Source organism: Homo sapiens, chromosome 2 (genome assembly GCF_000001405.40).
Source record: "Homo sapiens chromosome 2, GRCh38.p14 Primary Assembly".
Classification (NCBI taxonomy): domain Eukaryota; kingdom Metazoa; phylum Chordata; class Mammalia; order Primates; family Hominidae; genus Homo; species Homo sapiens.
In genome coordinates, this window is record NC_000002.12 from 120,051,762 (window position 1) to 120,072,604 (window position 20,843).

Genomic DNA, 20,843 nt, shown 5'->3' on the forward strand with positions numbered 1-20,843 from the left:
TTCTCTCTACACTGGGTGATGTAGACTGGAGCTGTTCTTATTCGGCCATCTTGGAACCTCCTGCATTGTTTTGTTTTTTTTTTGAGACAGAGTCTTGCTCTGTCACCCAGGCTGGAGTGCAGTGACGTGGTCTTGGCTCACTGTAAGCTCCACCTCACAGGTTCAAGTGATTCTTCTGCTTCAGCCTCCTGAGTAGCTGGGACTGCAGGTGCACACCACCGTGCCTGGCTAATGTTTGTATTTTTAGTACAGACAGGGTTTCACCACATTGGCCAGGCTGGTCTTGAACTCCTGACCTCGTGATCTGCCCACCCTGGCCTCCCAAAGTGCTGGGACTACAGGTGTGAGCCACTGCACCTGGCCATGCTTTGCATTTAATTTTCATGTTTCTTTAGTTGCCTTTAACCTGGAGTACTGCGGTTTCCTTAGTCTTGCCTTGACTTTCATGACTTTGAAGCTTTTGAAGATACAGGACAGTTATTTTGTATATCGTCCCTCAATTTGGGTTTGTCTGATGTTCCCTTATAAAGTAGATTAATCTTGGCACCTTTGGCAGAAAAATAACCGAAGTGATTCTGTGTTTCGTTCTGTCCTATTGGGTGTCATGTACTTTCATTTGGTCCCATTACTAGTGATACTAAATTTGATCCCTTGATTAAGATGGTGTCTGCTAGGCCTCACCACTATGAAGTTATTCTTTTTTCCCTTTGTCATTAACTATTTTGTGGGCAGTTATGTTGAGACTTTTCCTCATCAAACTTTCTATTTATTTATGAACTAATAGATTCCTGTTTTAATTCAATGGGTTATATCTGTTACTATCATTTAATTTGTTGCTCAAATTTTCCCACGTATGGTCAATGGGAGCTGCTTCAAGATGGCTTCTATGTTCATTTGACATGGCCCCTTCATTCTTTGAGCTCTGCCTTACTTTCTGGCTTATGAAGGTATGCCATGTTCATCTTGCAGTGCCCTACTCCAGCCCTGGAATTAGCCAGTTCTCCAATGAGTCTTGTGACCAGATTTAGGGAATATGTGTTTATGTTTATTTCTCCATATCTCTCTCTCGAATACCATGAATACCATAACTTCAACACCCATAAATAATTGAAATTCCAGTCTAACACTACAGGGCTTCTTGTAGTTTTTTTTCTCTTTCCATATTTGTAGTTCTCTTCTATAGAAACCAGGCTATGATTATCACCAGTAGATTTACTATATTGATCACTCAGCATGTGTGGAACCAGTCTCTAGCCTCTCCCTGTGTACATGCTGGTCTTGCTCAGACAACCTAATTATTTCTGGACTGAGTTATTATTTTTTATTTTTATTTTTTGCTGTTTCTTTGATCTTGGATGGACTGAATTATTTGGAAAAAGGAAAGGATTGTGAAACTTGTCACCTTACAAATACACAGTGGAACGTAAAGCACTCCTTTGACAGTTGTATTGAAGAGTTATTACCTCAGAGATTTGGTTTGGAGTAGGAAGCTTAAAGAGAAGAGAGAAGGCATGCTTAAGTAAAAGAAGGAGTTGGTTTTAGTTAGCATGACGATGTCATTTTTTCTGTAAAGTAGGCCACTTAAAAAAAAGACAATTTACATACCATAAAGTTCACCATTTTAGATTGTACAATTCAGAGTTTTCAGTATATTTAGAATTGTTCAGCCATCATCACTAATTCCAGAACATTTTCATCACCCCCAAAGAAACCCTCTTACACGTTACCAGTCATTTCCCATTTACCCCTCCCCACAGCATCTGGCAAACGCTGTCTATGGATTGCCTATTTTGAAAATTTCATTTGAATGGAATCATGTAATAGGTGGCCTTTGGAATCTGGAAATGTACTTAGCATAATGTTTTCATGGTTCATCCGTGTTGTAGCATATCTTAGTGGTTGATTCCTTTTTATTGCTGAATAATATTCTATTGTATGAATATATCACATTTTATTTACTCATCCATTGATGGACATTTGGAGTATTTCTACTATTTGGCTGTTATGAATAATGCTGCTCTGAAGGCTGGGCATGGTGGTCTGTAATCCAAACACTTGGGGAGGCTGAGATGGGTGGATTGCTTGAGCCCAGGAGTTCGAGACCAGCCTGGGCAACTTGGCAAAACACTTGTCTCTACAATATACAAAAATTAGCCAGGTGCGGTGGTGTGTGCCTGTAGTTCCAGCTACTTGGGAGGCTCAGGTAGGAGGATTGCTTGTGCCAAACTTTTCCAGTGATGGCACCATTCCACACTCCCTACCAGCAGTGTATGAGGATTCCTGTTTCTCCACATCCTTGCCAACTTGTGATTTCCCCTTCTTTTTGTTTAGCCATCCTAGTTGGTATGAAATGGTGTCTCATTGTGGTTTCGATTTGCATTTCCCTAATGACTAATGATGTTGAGCATCTTTTCATGTGCTTGTTTGCCGTTTGTGTATCTTCTTTGGAGAAATGTCTATTCAGATCCTTTGCCTGATTTTTTAAAGTGTGTTATTTGCTTTTCTGCTGTTGAGTTGTAAGAGTTCTTTGTATTTTCTGGGTACTCAGCCCTAGTCAGATACATCTGCAAACTTTTTTCCCCTACTTTTCACTTTCTTGATAGTGTCCTTTGACAAAAGTTTTACATTGTGATGAAATCCAGTTTACCTACTTTGGTTGCTTATGCTGTTTGTGTTATATCTATCAAACGATTGCCTATTCTGAGGTCATAAAGATTTACACGTTTTCTTCTAAAAGTTTTTTTTTTTTTTGAGAAAGAGTCTCACTCTTCTCACTCCAGTCACCAGGCTGGAGTGCAGTGGTGCAATTTCGGCTCACTGCAACTCCGCCTCCCGGTTCGAGCAGTTCTCCTGCCTCAGCCTCCGAAGTACCTGGGACAACAGGCATCTGATTCATTTAGAGTTAATTTTTGTATATGCTATGAAGTTGGGGTCCACCTTCATTCTTTAGCATGTGAATATCCAGTGATCCTAACACCACTTGTTAAAATGACTTGAAGGGTCTTGTTGCATGCTTGTTGGAAATCTATTTACTATAGACTATAGATATGTGGGTTTATTTCTGGATTCCCTCTTCTGTTCCATTGATACATACATATATACACTTTTTTTTTTTTTTTTTTGAGACGGAGTTTCACTTTTGTTGCCCAGGCTGGAGTGCAATCATGCGAACTTGGCCCACCACGACCTCTGCCTCCCGGGTCCAAGTGATTCTCCTGCCTCAGCCTCCCAAGCAGCTGGGACTACAGGCATGCACCACCATGCCCAGCTAATTTTGCACCTTTAGCAGAGATGGGGTTTGTTCATGTTGGCAGGCTGGTCCCAAACTCGACCTCAGGCAATCCGCCTGCCTCGGCCTCCCAAAGTGCTGGAATTATAGGCGTGAGCCACCATGCCCGGCCTGTTCCATTGATCTTTATGTTGATCCTTATGCCAGTACCACAGTGTCTTGATTATGGTAACTTTGTAGTAAGTCTTAAAATTGGGAAGTGTGAGTTCTCCAGCTGTCTTCTTTTTTCAGTATTCTTTTGGTTATTCTGAGTCCCTTGCATTTCCGTATAAATCTTAGGGTCAGCTTATCCATTTATGCAAAAAAGGCAGTTGGAATTTTGGTAGGGATTGCACTGAATCTGTATATCAATTTGGGGAATATTGCCATTTTAACAATGTAGTCTTCTGATCCATGAACATGGAATGTCTTTCTCTGTATTAGGTTTTTAATTTTTTTTTTTTTTTTTTTTTTTTTGAGACAGAGTCTTGCTCTGTCAACCAGGCTGGAGTGCAGTGGTGTGATCTCGGCTCACTGGAACCTCTGCCTCCCGGGTTCACGCCATTCTCCTGCCTCAGCCTCCCTAGGTTTTTAATTTTTTAAAACAATGTTTTATAGTTTAAGTTTATAGAAGTCTCACTTCCTTGGTTAAATTTATTCCTAAGCATTTTATTCCTTTGGTACTATTTTAAATGGAATTGTTTTTATAATTTCATTTTTGGATTGTTCATTGTTAGCATATAGAACTGCAACTGATTTTTGTGTATTTATTTTGTATCCTGTAGTCTTGCTGAACGTGTTTATTAGTTTTAATGTGTTTTTATGTATAAGATCATGTCATCTGCAAAAAGATGGTTTTATGTCTTCCTTTAGAATCTGGATGTCTTGTGTTTTTTTCTTTCCTTTTCTTTCCTCAGTGCCCTGGCTAGAACCTTCAATAAAATGTTGAATAGAAGCAGTGGGAGTGGACACCCTTGACATATTCCTGATCTTAGTGGGGAAAATGTTCAGTCTTCTACCATCAAGTATGGTGTGGGAATTTTATAGATGCCCTTAATCAGATTGAGGGAAGGTCTTTTCTATTCCTAGTTCGTTGATGCTTTCATAATGAAAGGTCGTTGGGTTTTGTCAATTGCTTTTTCTGCATTTATTGAGAGGATGATGTGAAGTTTTTAAAAAATCTGTTTATATGGTATGTTATGTTGATTTTTTTTTTTTAATGTTGAACCAACCTTGAATTTTTGGGATAAATCCCACTTAGTCATGGTTTATAGTCTTTTTTTTTTTTGAGATGGAGTCTCGCTTTGTTGCCCAGGTTGGAGTGCAGTGGCGTGATCTCAGCTCACTGCAACATCTGCCTCCTGGTTCAAGCGATTCTCCTGCCTCAGCCTCCCAAGGAGCTGGGATGACAGGCATGCACCACTGTGCCCGGCTAGTTTTTGTATTTTTAGTAGAGATGGGATTTCGCCATGTTGTCCAGGCTGGTCTTGAACTCCTGTATGCAAGCGATCCTTTTGCCTCAGCCTCCCAAAGTGTTGGGATTACAGGTGTGAGCCACCACACCTGACCATTGGTTTGCCAGTATTTGATGATTATTTTGGTACTATATTCATAAAGGATATTAGTCTGTAGTTTTCTTGTGACTTTTTTTTTTTTTCTGGTTTGGGTGTAATGCTGGTCTTGTAGACGAGGTGGGAAAACCATCCCCCCTCTTGTATTTTTTTGGAAAATCTTGTGAAGGATTAGTGTTAATTCTTTCAACATTTGGTAGAATTTGTCATTGAAACCATCTGGTTCTGGGCTTTTGTTTGTGAGAAGTTTTTGATTATTGACTCATTCCTTTACTTGTTACAGGTGTATTCAGATTTTCTTTTCTTTCCATTTTGAGACAGGGTCTCACTTTGTCACCCAGGCTGGAGTGTAGTGACGCCATCACAGCTCACTGCGGCCTCAACCTCCCAGGCTCAAGGGATCCTCCCATGTCAGCCTCCTGAGTAGTGGGGGCTATAGGCACCCACCACGCCTGGCTAATTCTTTATTTTTTTGTAGAGATGGGGGCTCACCATGTTGCCCAGACTGGTCTTGATCTCCTGGATGCAAGTGATCCTCTTCAGCCTCGCAAAGTGCTGGGATTACAAGTGTGAGCTACCACGTCTGGCTGTGTTTTCTCTAAAGGCCACTTTAGAGAGTAAAAGGGGTACTTAATGAATGAGGGATTGGGATAGTAGGCATAAGCTGCCAGTATTATTCTGGTAAACCAGAATATATGGTCATCGTTGTTTTAGTGGACTGCAGAATACTACCCCATCGTCTATTTTAAAATCTAAATGTAATTTAATATCCTTTTATATAGTCCAGTGATGATCTTAAACTTAGAGTTATGAAATCTGTGGACTTACCCTAGAAAAATGCACATACACATAACGTTTTGTCTGTACATAGTAATTCAGATATCCCCCAAGCCCAACTATGAATTCTCCAATTTAGTAACCCTTCTTTAGCAAATGAATAACCTATAGCTTAAGGGAAGATGGATAATGGTATAAATCTGTGAGTTTTTCTGTTTAAATCTTTAAGACAGTTACGCCGTCAAACATTTATAATCTCTTTTTTTTTTTTTGCTGTTGGTACAACTTTGTTATTAAATCTCATTGTATAACTAAACAGATATTTTTATGGTAATATATTCTTTCTTGATGAAGGCTTAGGGAAACACTTTTTTTTTGCTGTCATAAAAATAGTACATGTAGCAAAGCCACCCATGACAGGAGCACTGCCAATATTAGTGGTTAAAAAAGTGACAATTTTGGGTAGTTTCTTGTATACAGGACTTTCCACAGTAGAAGTAATATATTTTTAATTTTGATATTGAGTGGTTTTAGGTTGGTACAATAAGACTTTGCAAAATAATTGGAGAGTTAACTGTACCGATTTCCTGGAGAACACATTTGATACATTTTGAAGGAACAATTTTCAGTCTTAAAATCACATGTTTACATGGACCAGGCAGGAGAGCAAAAGAAGGGAAGCAGGTTGGTGTGCACATTAAAGATTTTGCATGGTTATTTACTCCAAGAAGAAATATGGTTTCTCTCATTTAAAAAAAAATCTTGCTACATACTTGTTATGTTTTGTATTTTCCTTCATTTTATTTTATTTTTAAATAAAAGAAGCAGGGTTTTGCTGTCTGTGTCTGCCCAGGCTGGAGTGCAGTGGCATGATCAGAGCTCACTGTAGCCTTGATCCCCTGGGCTCAAGTGATCCACCCACCTCAGCCTCCCAAGTAGGTAGGACTACAGGTGTGCACCACCATGCCTGGCTAATTTAAAAAATAATAATTTTGTAGAGACTGCCCAGGCTGTTCTGGAACTCCTGGCCTCAAGTGATCCTCTTGCCTTGGCCCTCTAAGGTGTTGGGATTACAGGTGTGGGCCACTGTGCCCAGCCCTTTTCTCATTTTTGATAGGGATAGAGACAGAGAAATATAGATAGCGTGATGATAAATCATAGCTGATATCCAGCAGACTGTAGAGGATCAAAAAGGATTGGTGGAGGGGATGTGGTGAAGTGGGAAGCATTTTACATTTACCTGCAAAAGACAGTATATGGCAACTACCACCTAGCTCCAGGCATTTGCTGTTAAATAGGTTTGTTGTACCAGCATTGCTGGATCTTCAGGTATTTCAAGAAAAGCTGAAATCCAGATTTCAAGGCTAAATTGTCTATTTTTAAAAAGTTGTTAAACATATTTTTAAAAATAGCGTGGCTGATGGAGAAATCAAAGAAGATAAAAGTAAATGGAAAGACATTCTACATTGAATGGAAGACTCAACAAAGATACCAGTTCTCCCCAAATTGATATACAGGTTTAATGCAGTTTTTCTCAAAATTCCAGTAAGATCTTTTGTAGATATAGGTAAGATTATTCTAAAATTTATATGGAAAGACAGAGGACTACTAGAATGGCTAAAGTAATTTTAAAAAAGGGGAATAAAATGGGAGGAATCATGCTACCCAATTTCAAGACTTACTATATAGCTTTCATAATCAAGACTTTGTGGTATTGGCAAAGCGACAGACATGTAGATCAATGGAAAGAAATAGCCATACACAAATATGACCTCTGATTTTTGTCAAAGGTGCCAAAGTAATTCAGTGGAAGAATAGTCTTAATAATGGTGCTGGATTAGAACCTGTGGAAGAAGGAAAAACAAACAAACTAAAAAAAGTGCTGGAGCAGCTGGATATCTGTAAGACAGAAAAACCTTGACCTAAACCTTATACCTATACAAAAATTAACTCAAAATGGATAATGAGCCTGAATATAAAATATAAAACTATGAAACTTAGAGACAAATAAACAGGAGAAAATCTGTGGGACCTAGAGTTTAGAGAAGAGTTACTAGTAAACATGATACCAAAAGGATGATTTTTAAAAAAAAGATAAAATGGACTTCATAAAAAATTAAAAACTTTTGCTTTGGGAAAGACTCTGTTAATAGAACGAGAAGCTAAGCTACAGACTGGGAGAAAGTATTCGTATATCACACATCTGACCAGGAACTCGTGTCTAGCATATATACACAATGCCTAGCTGGGCGCAGTGGCTCACGCCTCTAATCTCATCACTTTGGGAGGCCAAGGCAAGAGGATCACTTGAGCTCAGGAGTTCAAGACTAGCCTGGACAACATAGTGAGACCTTGTCTCTACAAAAAAAAACAAAAAAAGTCTGCTGCTGTGGCTACTTGGGAGGCTGGGCAGGAGGATTGCTTAAGCCTGGGAGGTGGAGGCTGCTGTGAGTGTGACAGCCACTGCACCTCAAACCTGGGCGACAGAGCGAAACCGTGTCTCAACCAAAAACAAAACAAAACAAGCTCCTCAGCTCAACAATTAGAAAGCAAACAGTCTAATTCAAAAATGAACAAAAGACATGAAGAGACATTTCACCTGAGAGGATATACAGATGACAAATTCATGAAAAGATGTTAGACTAGCCATCAGGGAAGTGCCAATTAAGACCTCAGTGAGATGTTTTCACTACACATCTATCAAAACAGCTAAAGTACAACATGGTGACAACTCCAAATTTTGGTGAGAATGTGCAGAAATGGGATCTCTTATACATTGTTGTTGGGATTGTAAAGTGATATCGCTACTCTGGAAGATAATCTGGCAGTTTCTTTTAAAACTAAACATATACTTAAACCATATGACTAATCAGTTGTATGCCTGACCATTTATCCCAGAGAGATGAAGACTTACTTCCACACAAAAACCTGAGCATGATTGTTCATAGCATCTTTATTTGTAGTAGCAAAAAACTTGAAACAACCACAGTGTCCTACAGTAAGTGAATGATTAAACAGTGGCACAATCATACCATGTAATACTACTCAGCAATAAAAAGAAAAAACTATTGATACACACCAACTTGGATGGATTTCAGAGGGCATTATGCTGAATAGGAAATAAAGCCAGTATCAAAAGGTTATATATTATATGATTCTATGTATGTAACATTCTTGAAATGACACAATTATAGAGATTGAGATCAAATTAATGGTTGCTAAGGGTTAGGGATATTGGCGTTGGGGGAGTGGTGACTATAAATGAGTAATGTGAGAGAGTTCTTCGTGATAATGGAATATTTCTTTATCTTGATTGTGGTATTAGGATAGGAATCTAAATGTGATAAAATGACACAGAACTATACATGCACATTGTACCAATGTTGGTTTACTGATTCTAATATTGTACTGTAGTTATGTTAAAATGTAAGCATTGGCAGAAGTGTACACAGGACCGGGCCTCTTCTTACTATCATTCCAACTTTGTGTGAATCTCTAATTATTTCATAATAAAACCTTAAAAAATAAACATAGCATGGAACAAGCAAACCATGTCTCGGGAGCAAAATTTAATCCTCAAAAATATATATCTGTGCTTGGTGAAGTTTGAAAAGGTTATATATAGAGATTAGAATTTTAACTGGTTCAGGGAAGTTTTTTTTTTTTTTTTTTTTTTTTTTTGAGAAGGAGTCTCACTCTGTTGCCCAGGCTGGAGTGCAGTGGTGTGATCTCAGCTTACTACAGCCTCTGCCTTCCGGGTTCAAGCAATTCTTCTGTCTCAGCCCCTCGAGTAGCCAGGACTACAGGCACACACCACCATGCCTGGCTAATTTTTTGTATTTTTTTTTTTATTTTTTTTTTTTGAGACGGAGTCTCGCTCTGTCGCCCAGGCTGGAGTGCAGTGGCGGGATCTCGGCTCACTGCAAGCTCCGCCTCCCGGGTTCACGCCATTCTCCTGCCTCAGCCTCCCAAGTAGCTGGGACTACAGGCGCCCGCCACTACGCCCGGCTAATTTTTTTGTATTTTTAGTAGAGACGGGGTTTCACCGTTTTAGCCGGGATGGTCTCGATCTCCTGACCTCGTGATCCGCCCGCCTCGGCCTCCCAAAGTGCTGGGATTACAGGCGTGAGCCACCGCGCCCGGCCTTTTTTTTTAATAGAGACAGGGTTTCACCACGTTGGGTGGGCTGGTCTCGAGTTCTTGACCTCAGGTGATCTGCCCTCCTCGGCCTCCCAAAGTGTTGGGATGACAGGCATGAGCCACCACACCCGGCCTATTCAGTGAAGTTTTTAAAGAAAAATAAGTTAGTTAGATGGTAGGTATCATGCATCAGGTGTATCTTGTATAACGTGATACTGTATATTATGCTTTTAGAAAAGGGAAACGTAGATAGCATTTCTCATAAATACTTAAAGAATTTTAAGATGTCAGTATTAATTATGTTTTGTCTTTTTCTTAAATTGTTTGGAAAGCTTGTTTATGTTCTGTAATTTTTTTCAAAACTTCCTTGGTTCTTGATGTAAGCATGGGTAGACAGATGGTCCAACATGTGGCACCTGTGGAGAATAGAGCTGGTAGTTGCTCACTAGCTCTCCATTTTTTATTTTTTATACTGAATTTTGATTTTTTTGAGATCCCTAGATTAATAATATAAGCACTTCTAATAAAGAGAAGAAGATGACAAGGATGCCTACTATTACCATTGCTACTTAATTTCATAGTAGAAGTACCAGCAAATGCAGTTATGGAAGAGAAAATTATAAAGATTAGAAGGAAATAAAATTATCACTGGCAAATGATTGCATTGTATTCAGGGATTCAACTGAGAACACAATAGGATTCAGTAAGATAGTGGGAGGTGAAAAACATAGAAATAAATAACATGTTAAATGTATATATGTGTATATTGTAACACACATATTTGCTGAACAAGGAAGAACTAAAAAGTTGAAGGAGTAAGTCTAGAAAAGGATGACCTTGTTGAATTTTTCAGGAAAACTCCTGATCTTACTGCTGCCCAATAATGATTGTTTATAATTTATGGCTAATAATATTCTGAAGTTGATCATCTTTGTAAATCCTTGTCAGTATTCTGGATTTTAAAAAAATTAAAATAAATTAGAAGAAATGGAATCATCAGGTCAAAGAGAGAGAGTTTAAAGCTGTTTGATTATATTTACAAATTAAACTTATCAGTGTATGAAAGTAACAGTATGTTTTCTTTTATCTAGATAGTGTTGTTTTGTTTCAGTTAATATTTATTGCTACATTAGAAAATGCTGTATTATGAATATTCAATAATTCATTTAAAGAAATGTAGATCTAATTCATTTTATTTGTTCAATAATTATGGGGTTTGAGGCAATAGTTTTTTAATTTGATCCTCAGAAAAATCTCCTGTGAAGAATAAAAGGTTTAAGTGAGGTCTAGTGATTTCTAGAGACTGGATTTGAATTTATTATTTTGATTCTTAAGATATGGACTGAATACCACAGAGGATTCTGTTTAAAAATAGTGATGAGGAGTGTGGGAAATAAGATCATATAAGGCTCTGATGAACTTTTACTGGGTTCTAAAAATGTGTTTAGCTGTTTTAAAATAGAGGGTATTTTGAAGTGGTCAGAATGTGAGTTCGACTATATTGTAAATAGATACATGGTTGAACAAAATAAAATAAGTGGGCTGGGTGTGGTGGCTCACAGCTGTAATCCTAGCACTTTGGAAGGCTGAGGTGGGCAGATCATATGAGGTCAGGAGTTCAAGACTAGCCCGGCCAACCTGGTGAAAACCTGTCTCTACTAAAAATTAAAAAAAATTAGCCAGGTGTGGTGGCTCACGCCTGTAGTCCCAGCTACTTGAGAGGCTGAGACTTGAGAATTGCTTGAACTAGGGAGGCAGAGGTTGCAGTGAGTTGAGATCGCACCACTGCGCTCTAGCCTGGGCAACAGAGAAGACTTTGTCTCAAAAAAAAAAAAAAAAAAAAGTGAATTAAGTGTAAAAATGACCATCAAAACCTAGTGAGCTCCTATGCAATTTTGGCAGCATGCTGTCTCCCTTTTTAAAGTGTGTTTCCAAAATAGATTATGTACTTTATCTCTGGAAAGTGAATATATAACCTACATAACTCGTGAAAAAACTACCATATTACCCCTATAGAGTGTACTATGCTTATTACCTGGGTGGCAAAATAACCTGTATACCAAACCCCCATGACATGCGATTTACCTGTATAACAAACCTGCACATGTACCCCTGAATCTAAAATAAAGGTTAAAAAAAAATTCCTGGCCGGGTGCAGTGGCTCACGCCTGTAATCCCAATACTTTGTGAGGCCGAGAGGGGCGGATCACCTGAGGTCAGGAGTTCAAGTTCAGCCTACATGGCGAAACCCTGTCTCTATTAAAAATAATAAAAATTAGCCGGGCGTGGTGGCGGGCGCCTGTAATCCCAGCTACTCAGGAGTCTGAGGCAGGAGAATCGCTTGAACCCGGGAGGCGGAGGTTGCAGTGAGGCGAGATCGCGCCACTGCACTCCAGCCTGGGTGACGAGAGTGAAACTCCATCTCAAAAAAAAAAAGAAAAAAGAAACAAAAATCCTTAGAGCATGCTAATAATATGCAGAAAGGCACAGTGGAAGATATATTTTAATGGTGATACAAGTCTTCATTTGGAATGTCTTATAATACAGACTGTTAACTCAAAAAAAGTAGTCACTCAGGAAGTTTATAGTGGAATCTAGATCAAATTGAAGTGTTTTCAGTTAGAACACAGTAACGCTATGTATTCATCCTCTCTTTCCTTAGTATAGGTTTTTAACTTTTAAGATTATTCACAGTGTAAAAATTTGTTTTAAGATAATTCTTTAATTCAGAGCATAAACCTCTACTCACAGAAGTATCTTTTTGCAGAGGCAATTGGTTTGAAAGATGGTTAACATTTCTCTACTATAAGCTCTTTTGTCTTTGAGCAAGAGTAGTGGTGGTGCATTTCTTTATTAGAGACATGTAGGTTAAGTGATTAGAAGGCAGGAGTCATTGATTTGAAGAGCTGTTAACAGACCATATTTAACAATAGGGTCTGGGGTGAGGGTATGTATATGTTAGTGTTTTATGGACACTCCCTACCTGATTCTTTGTTTGGTTTACTTATGGCTGTTATGTTTGTGGTTACATATTATTTATATTTTAAGATACAAGTAGATAATTGTTCTTCCATGCCTAGTTCGATAGGATGCTAAGAAATGTGGCTTTCTACATCCTTTGATATATCTTTATCAATTAAACTTTAAAAGTGGGAAATAGAAGGGAAGTTGTCTCCTTTTTAAGGTACAGTGAAGAAAGAGAATCTTACTAGTAATCTATATCTGTGTGCTTTCACTTTTATCTTCTAGTGTAATATAAACTCAACTCCTAAAGACCCTGATTCAAGGAAAACACTATCAGTGCCTGTCTCTGAGGCCTGAATTTTCCAGGCCTCGGTCTTGGAATGTGGAGGAGATGAAAGAAAACAGACTTGAGAATATGCAAACATGAACCCAGACCTTTCCCAGAAGAACATCACCCAGAACTCCCACAGCTCCTAAATCTCACTTTAACATGTGTTTGATGCTTTATCTGAGTTTTGGGTCATCTTAAGGGAGTGCAGGTATTAGAAACTATTATATATAAGTAGAAAAGAGATGAAAATGCCTGCCTGGAAGATAACTATGATCCTTTTTCTCACTAGGGTGATTTTATGTTTATTTATGTACTTACATTTTAGAGATGGGGTCTTGTTCTGTCGCCCAGGCTGGAGTACAGTATCATAGTTCCCTTGAAGCCCCAAACTACTGGACTCAAGCAGCCCTCTCGCCTCAGCCTCCCAAATAACTGGGGGACTGTAGGCATATGCCACCATGCTCAGCTAATTAAAAAAAAATTTTTTTTTTTGGAGACCGGTCTTACTATGTTGCCCAGGTTGGTCTCAAACTCCTGGCCTCAAACGATGCCCCTGCCTTAGCCTCCTGAGTAGCTATGATTATAAGCAAGAGCTACTGTGACAAGTTAGACTAGAAAGGTATATTTGTGAGACTAGTCCTAAATAGTTTTAAACAGGGAGAAATTTAAGTTATAACTGTCTAAGAAAGACTTTAGATTGTTCTTTTTTTTTTTTTTTGAGATGGAGTCTCGCTCACTCTGTCACCCAGACTGGAGTGCAGTGGCGCAATCTTGGCTCACTGCAACCTCTGCCTCCTGGGTTCAAGCGACTCTCATGCCTCAGCCTCCCGAGTAGCTGGGATTACAGGCGCCTGCCACCACGCCCAGCTAATTTTTGTATTTTTAGTAGAGATGGGGTTTCACCATGTTGGCCAGGCTGGTCTGAAACTCCTGACCTCAGGTGATTGCCCGCTTTGGCCTCCCAAAGTGCTGGGATTGCAGGTGTGAGCCACCTTACCCGGCTGAGATTGTTCTTGAAATAGTGTTCTATTTTTTAAAAAATTGTTTTCTTTTTATATCCCTGAAAACTTATTCTGTCAAAATTTATATTTAGCCTATTAATTTTCAGTCCACTGATAATGTTCTTCACTCTGCCAACACACATGTGTGTGCACATACTCACACACTTGAAAAATTTTCTTCTTCCCTGTTTGAGGAAACTCTGGAAGGAATCAAGAGAAACCAGTAACATCTTGGGGAGGAGGAGTGCCTGTGTTATGGGGTGTGGGTAATAGGGGGCAGAGACTGGGGGGAACTGATGACCATATAGTTTTTAATATTACTAAAAAATTAAACCATTTGAATATATTACCTATATAAAACATTAAAATAAGGGGGTCCATGATTATTGCCTTAAGTAATATGTGTTCATTGTGGAGTAAGCGGATAATATAGGAAAGCACAAGGAAGAAAAAAAATCACTCGCAATTTCAACCAGCCGAGAGATAACATCTCTGTTACATTATTATTACAGATTATCTCTGTGAATGAAAATATGTATTTAATAGAAAATTGTATATCTTGACAAAACAATTTATAATGTCTAATAACCTGCCTTTTAAAATTTAACAATGTAAGTAATTTTTCAAATTCTTAAGTATTTGCTTTCATTATTTTTCGTGGATATATAGTGCTCTATTATATTAAAATGCTTTAACCAGTTCACTCTTGTTAGATACATAGGCTGTCCTAATTTTCTTTGATGAAATTTCTTGTAGGTAAATCTACACACATCCATAATGATTTCTAGGTGTAGAATTGCTGGGTTGAAGGCACATAGTTATTTTTGAGACATTATCTACTGTCTAGTCAGATTGCTTCCTGGAAGGGTTGTGCTCATTTGCACTCACTATGGTGGATGAGAGGCTACATGAAATAGTGCCCAGGTGACCAGCCATGGAATATAGGACAACTCCCAGTTCCATGGTTTTGGGGAGAAAATCTGGGGCATGAAAACTAGTTTTTTCTCTTACTCAGTATGTGATTTGCATCAGGCTGTAGTAGGTATTTGTGTCAGTTAAGTCTGGAATATTTGGATATTGGATTTCTGGGCTGGACAGTGATGGATGAACTGTTTACTGCTGTAGGTTGAAGAATTTTCTACTGAAAGAAAATTGAATTGTTTTTTGCTACTGGCAGGCCTAGTGTTCTGTTAATGGAAGGATGCAGACCGGAGCTGTTCCTATTCGGCCATCTTGCCAGCCTAGATTGAAAGATTAAAGATTGCTAGATTGAAATAGGCTTAAAAGTAGATGTCCAACTGAATTTATTAAAAGATGAGAGATGGCACAGTAGCCCGCGCACTTGAAATCTCAAGAAAATATTGCATAGCATTTAAAAAATATTTGCTGAACATTTTATTTAAACATGGAAAGGTATTTTGCTGCCACACTGATAGTTCAGTGAATTGCACTTTTGGATCTTGGAGAATGGAGAGAAGCAGCTAGGCAAATAATTGGCAAGAAAAGTAAACAGTTACAGTGCAGCTTTGTTTACCCACTCTGCCTATCTGCGTTTCTGAAATTGGATTCCTTGGCTCTGTGAACTAGTTAGCCTTCCTTTAGAGTGCTTGGAATTGAAAGCATGTCAGAGAGAACACAGTCACGTATATCTTAGTTGGATGTGTGTGTCCTGTCACTGTTAGGACTTGGTGGCATAAAGGAATTAATAATGAGAAGTGAGCTGGGAATGGTTTATCAGTGGAAATATCTGGAATAGGTTTTTAGGTCTATTTGTGTCATGGACATTTCGAAGTCTCATAGTCACAATGTTAACATTTTTTATTTGTGGAACAAAGACTTCTTTATTTAATAGATAGAACCTTGATTATGAGAAAGATCTAATTTTACTCTGAAGGTTCTTTTAAAGAGTACTACCTCTGAGGAGCATCTGTTTTGTAAAATTTGGGGGACATTGTTTCACCTAATTTTTGGTTATAATCTGCTAATAAATTTTACATTTTATTATAAGAATGAATCAGGCACTGGAATATGGGGATACTTTTTTCTCTAATTTTAACAGTTTTGCAAGAGTCATTTATTTGGGAAAAGTGAGGGAAATAAGGGCAAAATTTAGCATGTCATCCTTGTTACTGAGGGAGCAGAGGAAGTGTTTTAAGAAGTCACATGATGGCTGGCAAGATGGCCGAATAGGAACAGCTCCGGTCTGCAGCTGCCAGTGAGATCAACGTGGAAGGCGGGTGATTTCTGCATTTCCAACTGAGGTACCCAGCTCATCTCATTGGGGCTGGTTAGACAATGGGTGCAGCTCATGGAGGGCAAGCCGAAGCAGAGTAAGGCATCGCCTCATCCGGGAAGCACAAGGGGTCGGGGAACTCCCTCCCCTAGCCAAGAGAAGCCATGAGGGACTGTGCTGTGAGGAACGGTGCATTCCGGCCCAGATACTACGCTTTTCCCATGGTCTTCGCCACCTGCAGACCAGGAGATTCCCTCGGGTGCCTACGCCACAAGGGCCCTGGGTTTCAAGCACAAAACTGGGTGGCCGTTTGGGCAGGCAATGAGCTGGCTGCAGGAAGCCCAGGGGGCCAAGTGGTCTAGCTCAGTGGATCTCACTCCCATGGAGCCCAGCAAGCTAAGATCCACTAGCTTGAAATTCTTGCTGCCAGCACAGCAGTCTGAAGCCGACCTGGGACGCTCAGGCTTGGTGAGGGGAGGGGCGTCCGCCGTTACTGAGGCTTGAGTAGGCGGTTTTCCCCTCACAGTATAAACAAAGCCGCCAGGAAGTTCGGACTGGGCAGAGCCCATGTCATAATGACAGGATCAAATTCACACATATAATATTAACCTTAAATGTAAACGGGCTAAATGTCCCAATTAAAAGACACAGACTGGCAAGTTGGATAAAAAGTCAAGACACCTCGGTGTGCTGTATTTAGGAGACCCATCTCACGGACAAAGACACACGCAGGCTCAAAATAAAGGGAGGGAGGAATATTTACCAAGCAATTGGAACGTTAAAAAAAAAAGCAGGGGTTGGCCAGGCACAGTGGCTCACACTTGTAATCCCAGCACATTGGGAGGCCAAGGCGGGTGGTTCACCGGAGGCTGGGAGTTCGAGACCAGCCTGACCAACATGGAGTAACCCTGTCTCTACTAAAAATTCAAAAATTAGCCGGGTGAGGTTGCGCATGCCTGTAATCCCAGCTACTTGGGAGGCTGAGGCAAGAAAATCTCTTGAATCCAGGATGCAGAGACTGAGGTGAGCCAAGATCATGCCATTGCACTCCAGCCTGGGCAACAAGAGTGAAACTCTGTCTCAAAAAAAAAAAAAAAAAAAAAAAAAAAAAAAAAAAAAAAGCAGGGGTTGCAATCCTAGGCTCTGATAAAACAGACTTTAAACCAACAAAGATCAAAAAAGACAAAGAAGGGCATGGTAAAGGGATCAACGCAACAAGAAGAGCTAACCTAAATATATATGCACCCAAAATAGGAGCACCCAGATTCATAAAGCAAGTTCTTAGAGACCTACAAAGAGACTTAGACTCCCACACATTAATAGTGGGAGACTTTAACACCCCACTGTCAATATTAGAAAGATCAATGAGACAGAAAATTGACAAGGATATTTAGGACTTGAACTCAGCTCTGGACCAAGCAGACCTAATAGACATCTACAGAACTCTCCACCCCAGATCAGCAGAATATACATTCTTCTCATCACTACATCACACTTTAAAATTGACCACATAATTGGAAGTAAAACACTCCTCAGCAAATGTGAAAGAACAGAAGTCATAACAAACAGTCTCTCAGACCACAGTGCAATCAAATTAGAGCTCAGGATTAAAAAACTCACTCAGAATAGCACAACTACATGGGAACTGAACAACCTGGTCCTGAATGACTACTGGGTAAATAATGAAATTAAGGCAGAAATCAGTAAGTTCTTTGAAACCAATGAGATCAAAGACACAATATACCAGAATCTCTGGGACACAGCTAAGCAGTGTTTAGAGGGAAATTTATAGCACTAAATGCCCACAGGAGAAAGCAGGAAAGATCTAAAATCGACACCCTAACGTCACGATTAAAAGAACTAGAGAAGCAAGAGCAATCAAATTCAAAAGCTAGCAGAAGAAATAACTAACAACAGAGCAGAACTGAAGGAGATAGAAACATGAAAAACCCTTCAAAAAATCAATGAATCCAGGAGCTGATTTTTTGTAAAGAGCTCCTGAAGGAAGCTCTATTTTAACAAAATAGATAGACCACTAGCCAGGCTAATAAAGAAGAAAATAGAGAATAATCAAATAGACAATAAAAAATGATAAAATGGAAATCACCACTGATCCCACAGAAATACAAACTACCATCAGAAAATATTGTAAACACCTCTACACAAATAAACTAGAAAATTTAGAAGAAATGGATAAATTCCTGGACACATATACCCTCCCAAGACTAAACCAGGAAGAAGTCAAATCCTTGAATAGACCAACAACAAGTTCTGAAATTGAGGCAGTAATTAATAGCCTACCAATGAAAAAAAGCCCAGGACCAGACAGATTCACAGCCGAATTCTACCAGAGGTACAAAGAGGAGCTGGTACCATTCCTTCTGAAACTATTACAAACAATAGGAAAAGAGGGACGCCTCCCTAACTCATTTTATGAGGCCAGCATCATCCTGTTACCAAAACCTGGCAGAGACACAACAACAACAACAAAAGAAAATTTCAGGCCACTGTCCCTGATGAACATCAATGCGAAAATCCTCAATAAAATACCAGCAAACTGAATCCAGCGGCACATCAGAAAGCTCATCCACCACAATCAAATCAGCTTCATCCCTGGATTGCAAGGCTGGTTCAACATACGCAAATCAATAAACGTAATCCATCAGCTAAACAGAACCAATGACAAAAACCACATGATTATCTCAATAGATGCAGAAAAGGCCTTTGATAAAATTCAACAGCCCTTCATGTTAAAAACTCTCAATAAACTAGGTATTGATAGAAAACATCTCAAAATAATAAGAGCTATTTATGACAAACCCACAGCCAATATCATACTGAATGGGCAAAAGCTGGAAGCATTCCCTTTGAATACTGGCACAAAACAAGGATGCCGTCTCTCACCACTCCTATTCAGCATAGTATTGGAAGTTCTGGCCAGCGCAATCAGGCAAGAGAAAGAAATAAAGCATATTCATATGGGAAGAGAGGAAGTCAGATTGCCTCTGTTTGCAGATGACATGATTGTATATTTAGAAAACCCCATCATCTCAGCCCAAAATCTCCTTAAGCTGATAAGTAACTTCAGCAAAGTCTCAGGATACAAAGTCAATGTGCAAAAATCACAAGCATTCCTATACACCAATAACAGAGAGCCAAATCATGAGTGAACTCCCATTCACAATTGCTACAAAGAGAATAAAATACCTGGGAATACAACTCACAAGGGATGTGGAGGACCTCTTGAAGGAGAACTACAAACCACAGCTCAAGGAAGTAAGAGAGGACACAAACAAATGGAAAAACATTTCATGCTCATGGATAGGAAGAATCAATATCATGAAAATGGCCATACTGCTCAAAGTAATTTATAGATTCAGTGGTATCCCCATCAAGCTACCTGAAAAAGAGCCCGTATAGCCAAGACATTCCTAAGCAAAAAGAACGAAGCCGGAGGCATCACGCTACCTGACTTCAAACTATACTACAAGGCTACAGTAACCAAAACAACATGGTGCTGCTACTGAAACAGATATATAGACCTATGGAACAGAACAGAGGCGTCAGAATTAACAACACACATCCACAACCATCTTATCTTTGATAAACCTGACAAAAACAAGCAATAGGGAAAGGATTCCCTATTTAATAAATGGTGTTGGGAAAACTGGCTAGCCATATGCAGAAAACTGAACCTGGACCCTTCCTTACACCTTATACAGAAATTAACTCAAGATGGATTAAAGACTTAAACGTGTAAAACCTAAAACCATAAAAACCCTAGAAGAAAACCTAGGCAGTACCATGCAGGACATAGGCATGGGCAAAAACTTCAAACTAAAACACCAAAAGCAGTGGCCACAAAAGCCAGAATTGACAAATGGGATCTAATTAAACTAAAGAGCTTCTGCACAGTAAAAGAAACTATCATCAGAGCGAACAGGCAATGTACAAAATGTACAATGTACAGAAAATTTTTGCAATGTATCCATCTGGCAAAGAGCTAATATCCAGAATGTATAAGAAACTTAAACAAATTTTCCAGAAAAAAACAACCCCATCAAAAAGTGGGTGAAGGATATGAACAGACACTTCTCAAAAGCAGACATTTATATGGCCAGCAAACACATGAAAAAAAGCGCATCATCACTGGTTATTAGAGAAATGCAAATCAAAACCACAATGAGATACCATCTCACACCAGTTAGAATGGCCATTATTAAAAAGTCAGGAAACAACAGGTGCTGGAGAGGATGTGGAGAAATAGGAATGCTTTTTTTGGTGGGGGTGTAAATTGGTTCAACCATTGTGGAAGACAGTGTGGTGATTTCCTCAAAGATCTAGAACCAGAAATATCATTTGACCCAGCAATCCCATTACTGCGTATATACCCAAAGGATTATAAGTCATTCTACTATAAAGACACATGCACACATATGTTTATTGCAGCACTGTTCACAATAGCAAAGACTTGGAACCAACCCAAATGCCCATCAATGATAGACTGGATAAGGAAAATGTAGCACATATACACCATGGAATACTATGCAGCCATAAA

At 39.2% G+C, this 20,843-nt stretch overlaps 1 protein-coding gene across 13 annotated transcripts in view, besides 1 other annotated feature; it reads left to right on the forward strand.

Moving 5' to 3' along the window:
• Positions 1–20,843, forward strand: part of EPB41L5 (erythrocyte membrane protein band 4.1 like 5) — a 166,043-nt gene that overhangs the window by 38,685 nt on the left and 106,515 nt on the right. The gene's annotated exons all lie outside the window — the stretch shown is intronic.
• Positions 16,518–17,105: an enhancer, noted in NCBI's record as "H3K27ac-H3K4me1 hESC enhancer chr2:120825855-120826442 (GRCh37/hg19 assembly coordinates)". NCBI's record gives its function as "activates a minimal SCP1, AML or CMV promoter by ChIP-STARR-seq in naive H9 embryonic stem cells {active_cell/tissue: H9 hESC(naive)}" and the evidence as "EXISTENCE:reporter gene assay evidence [ECO:0000049][PMID:30033119]".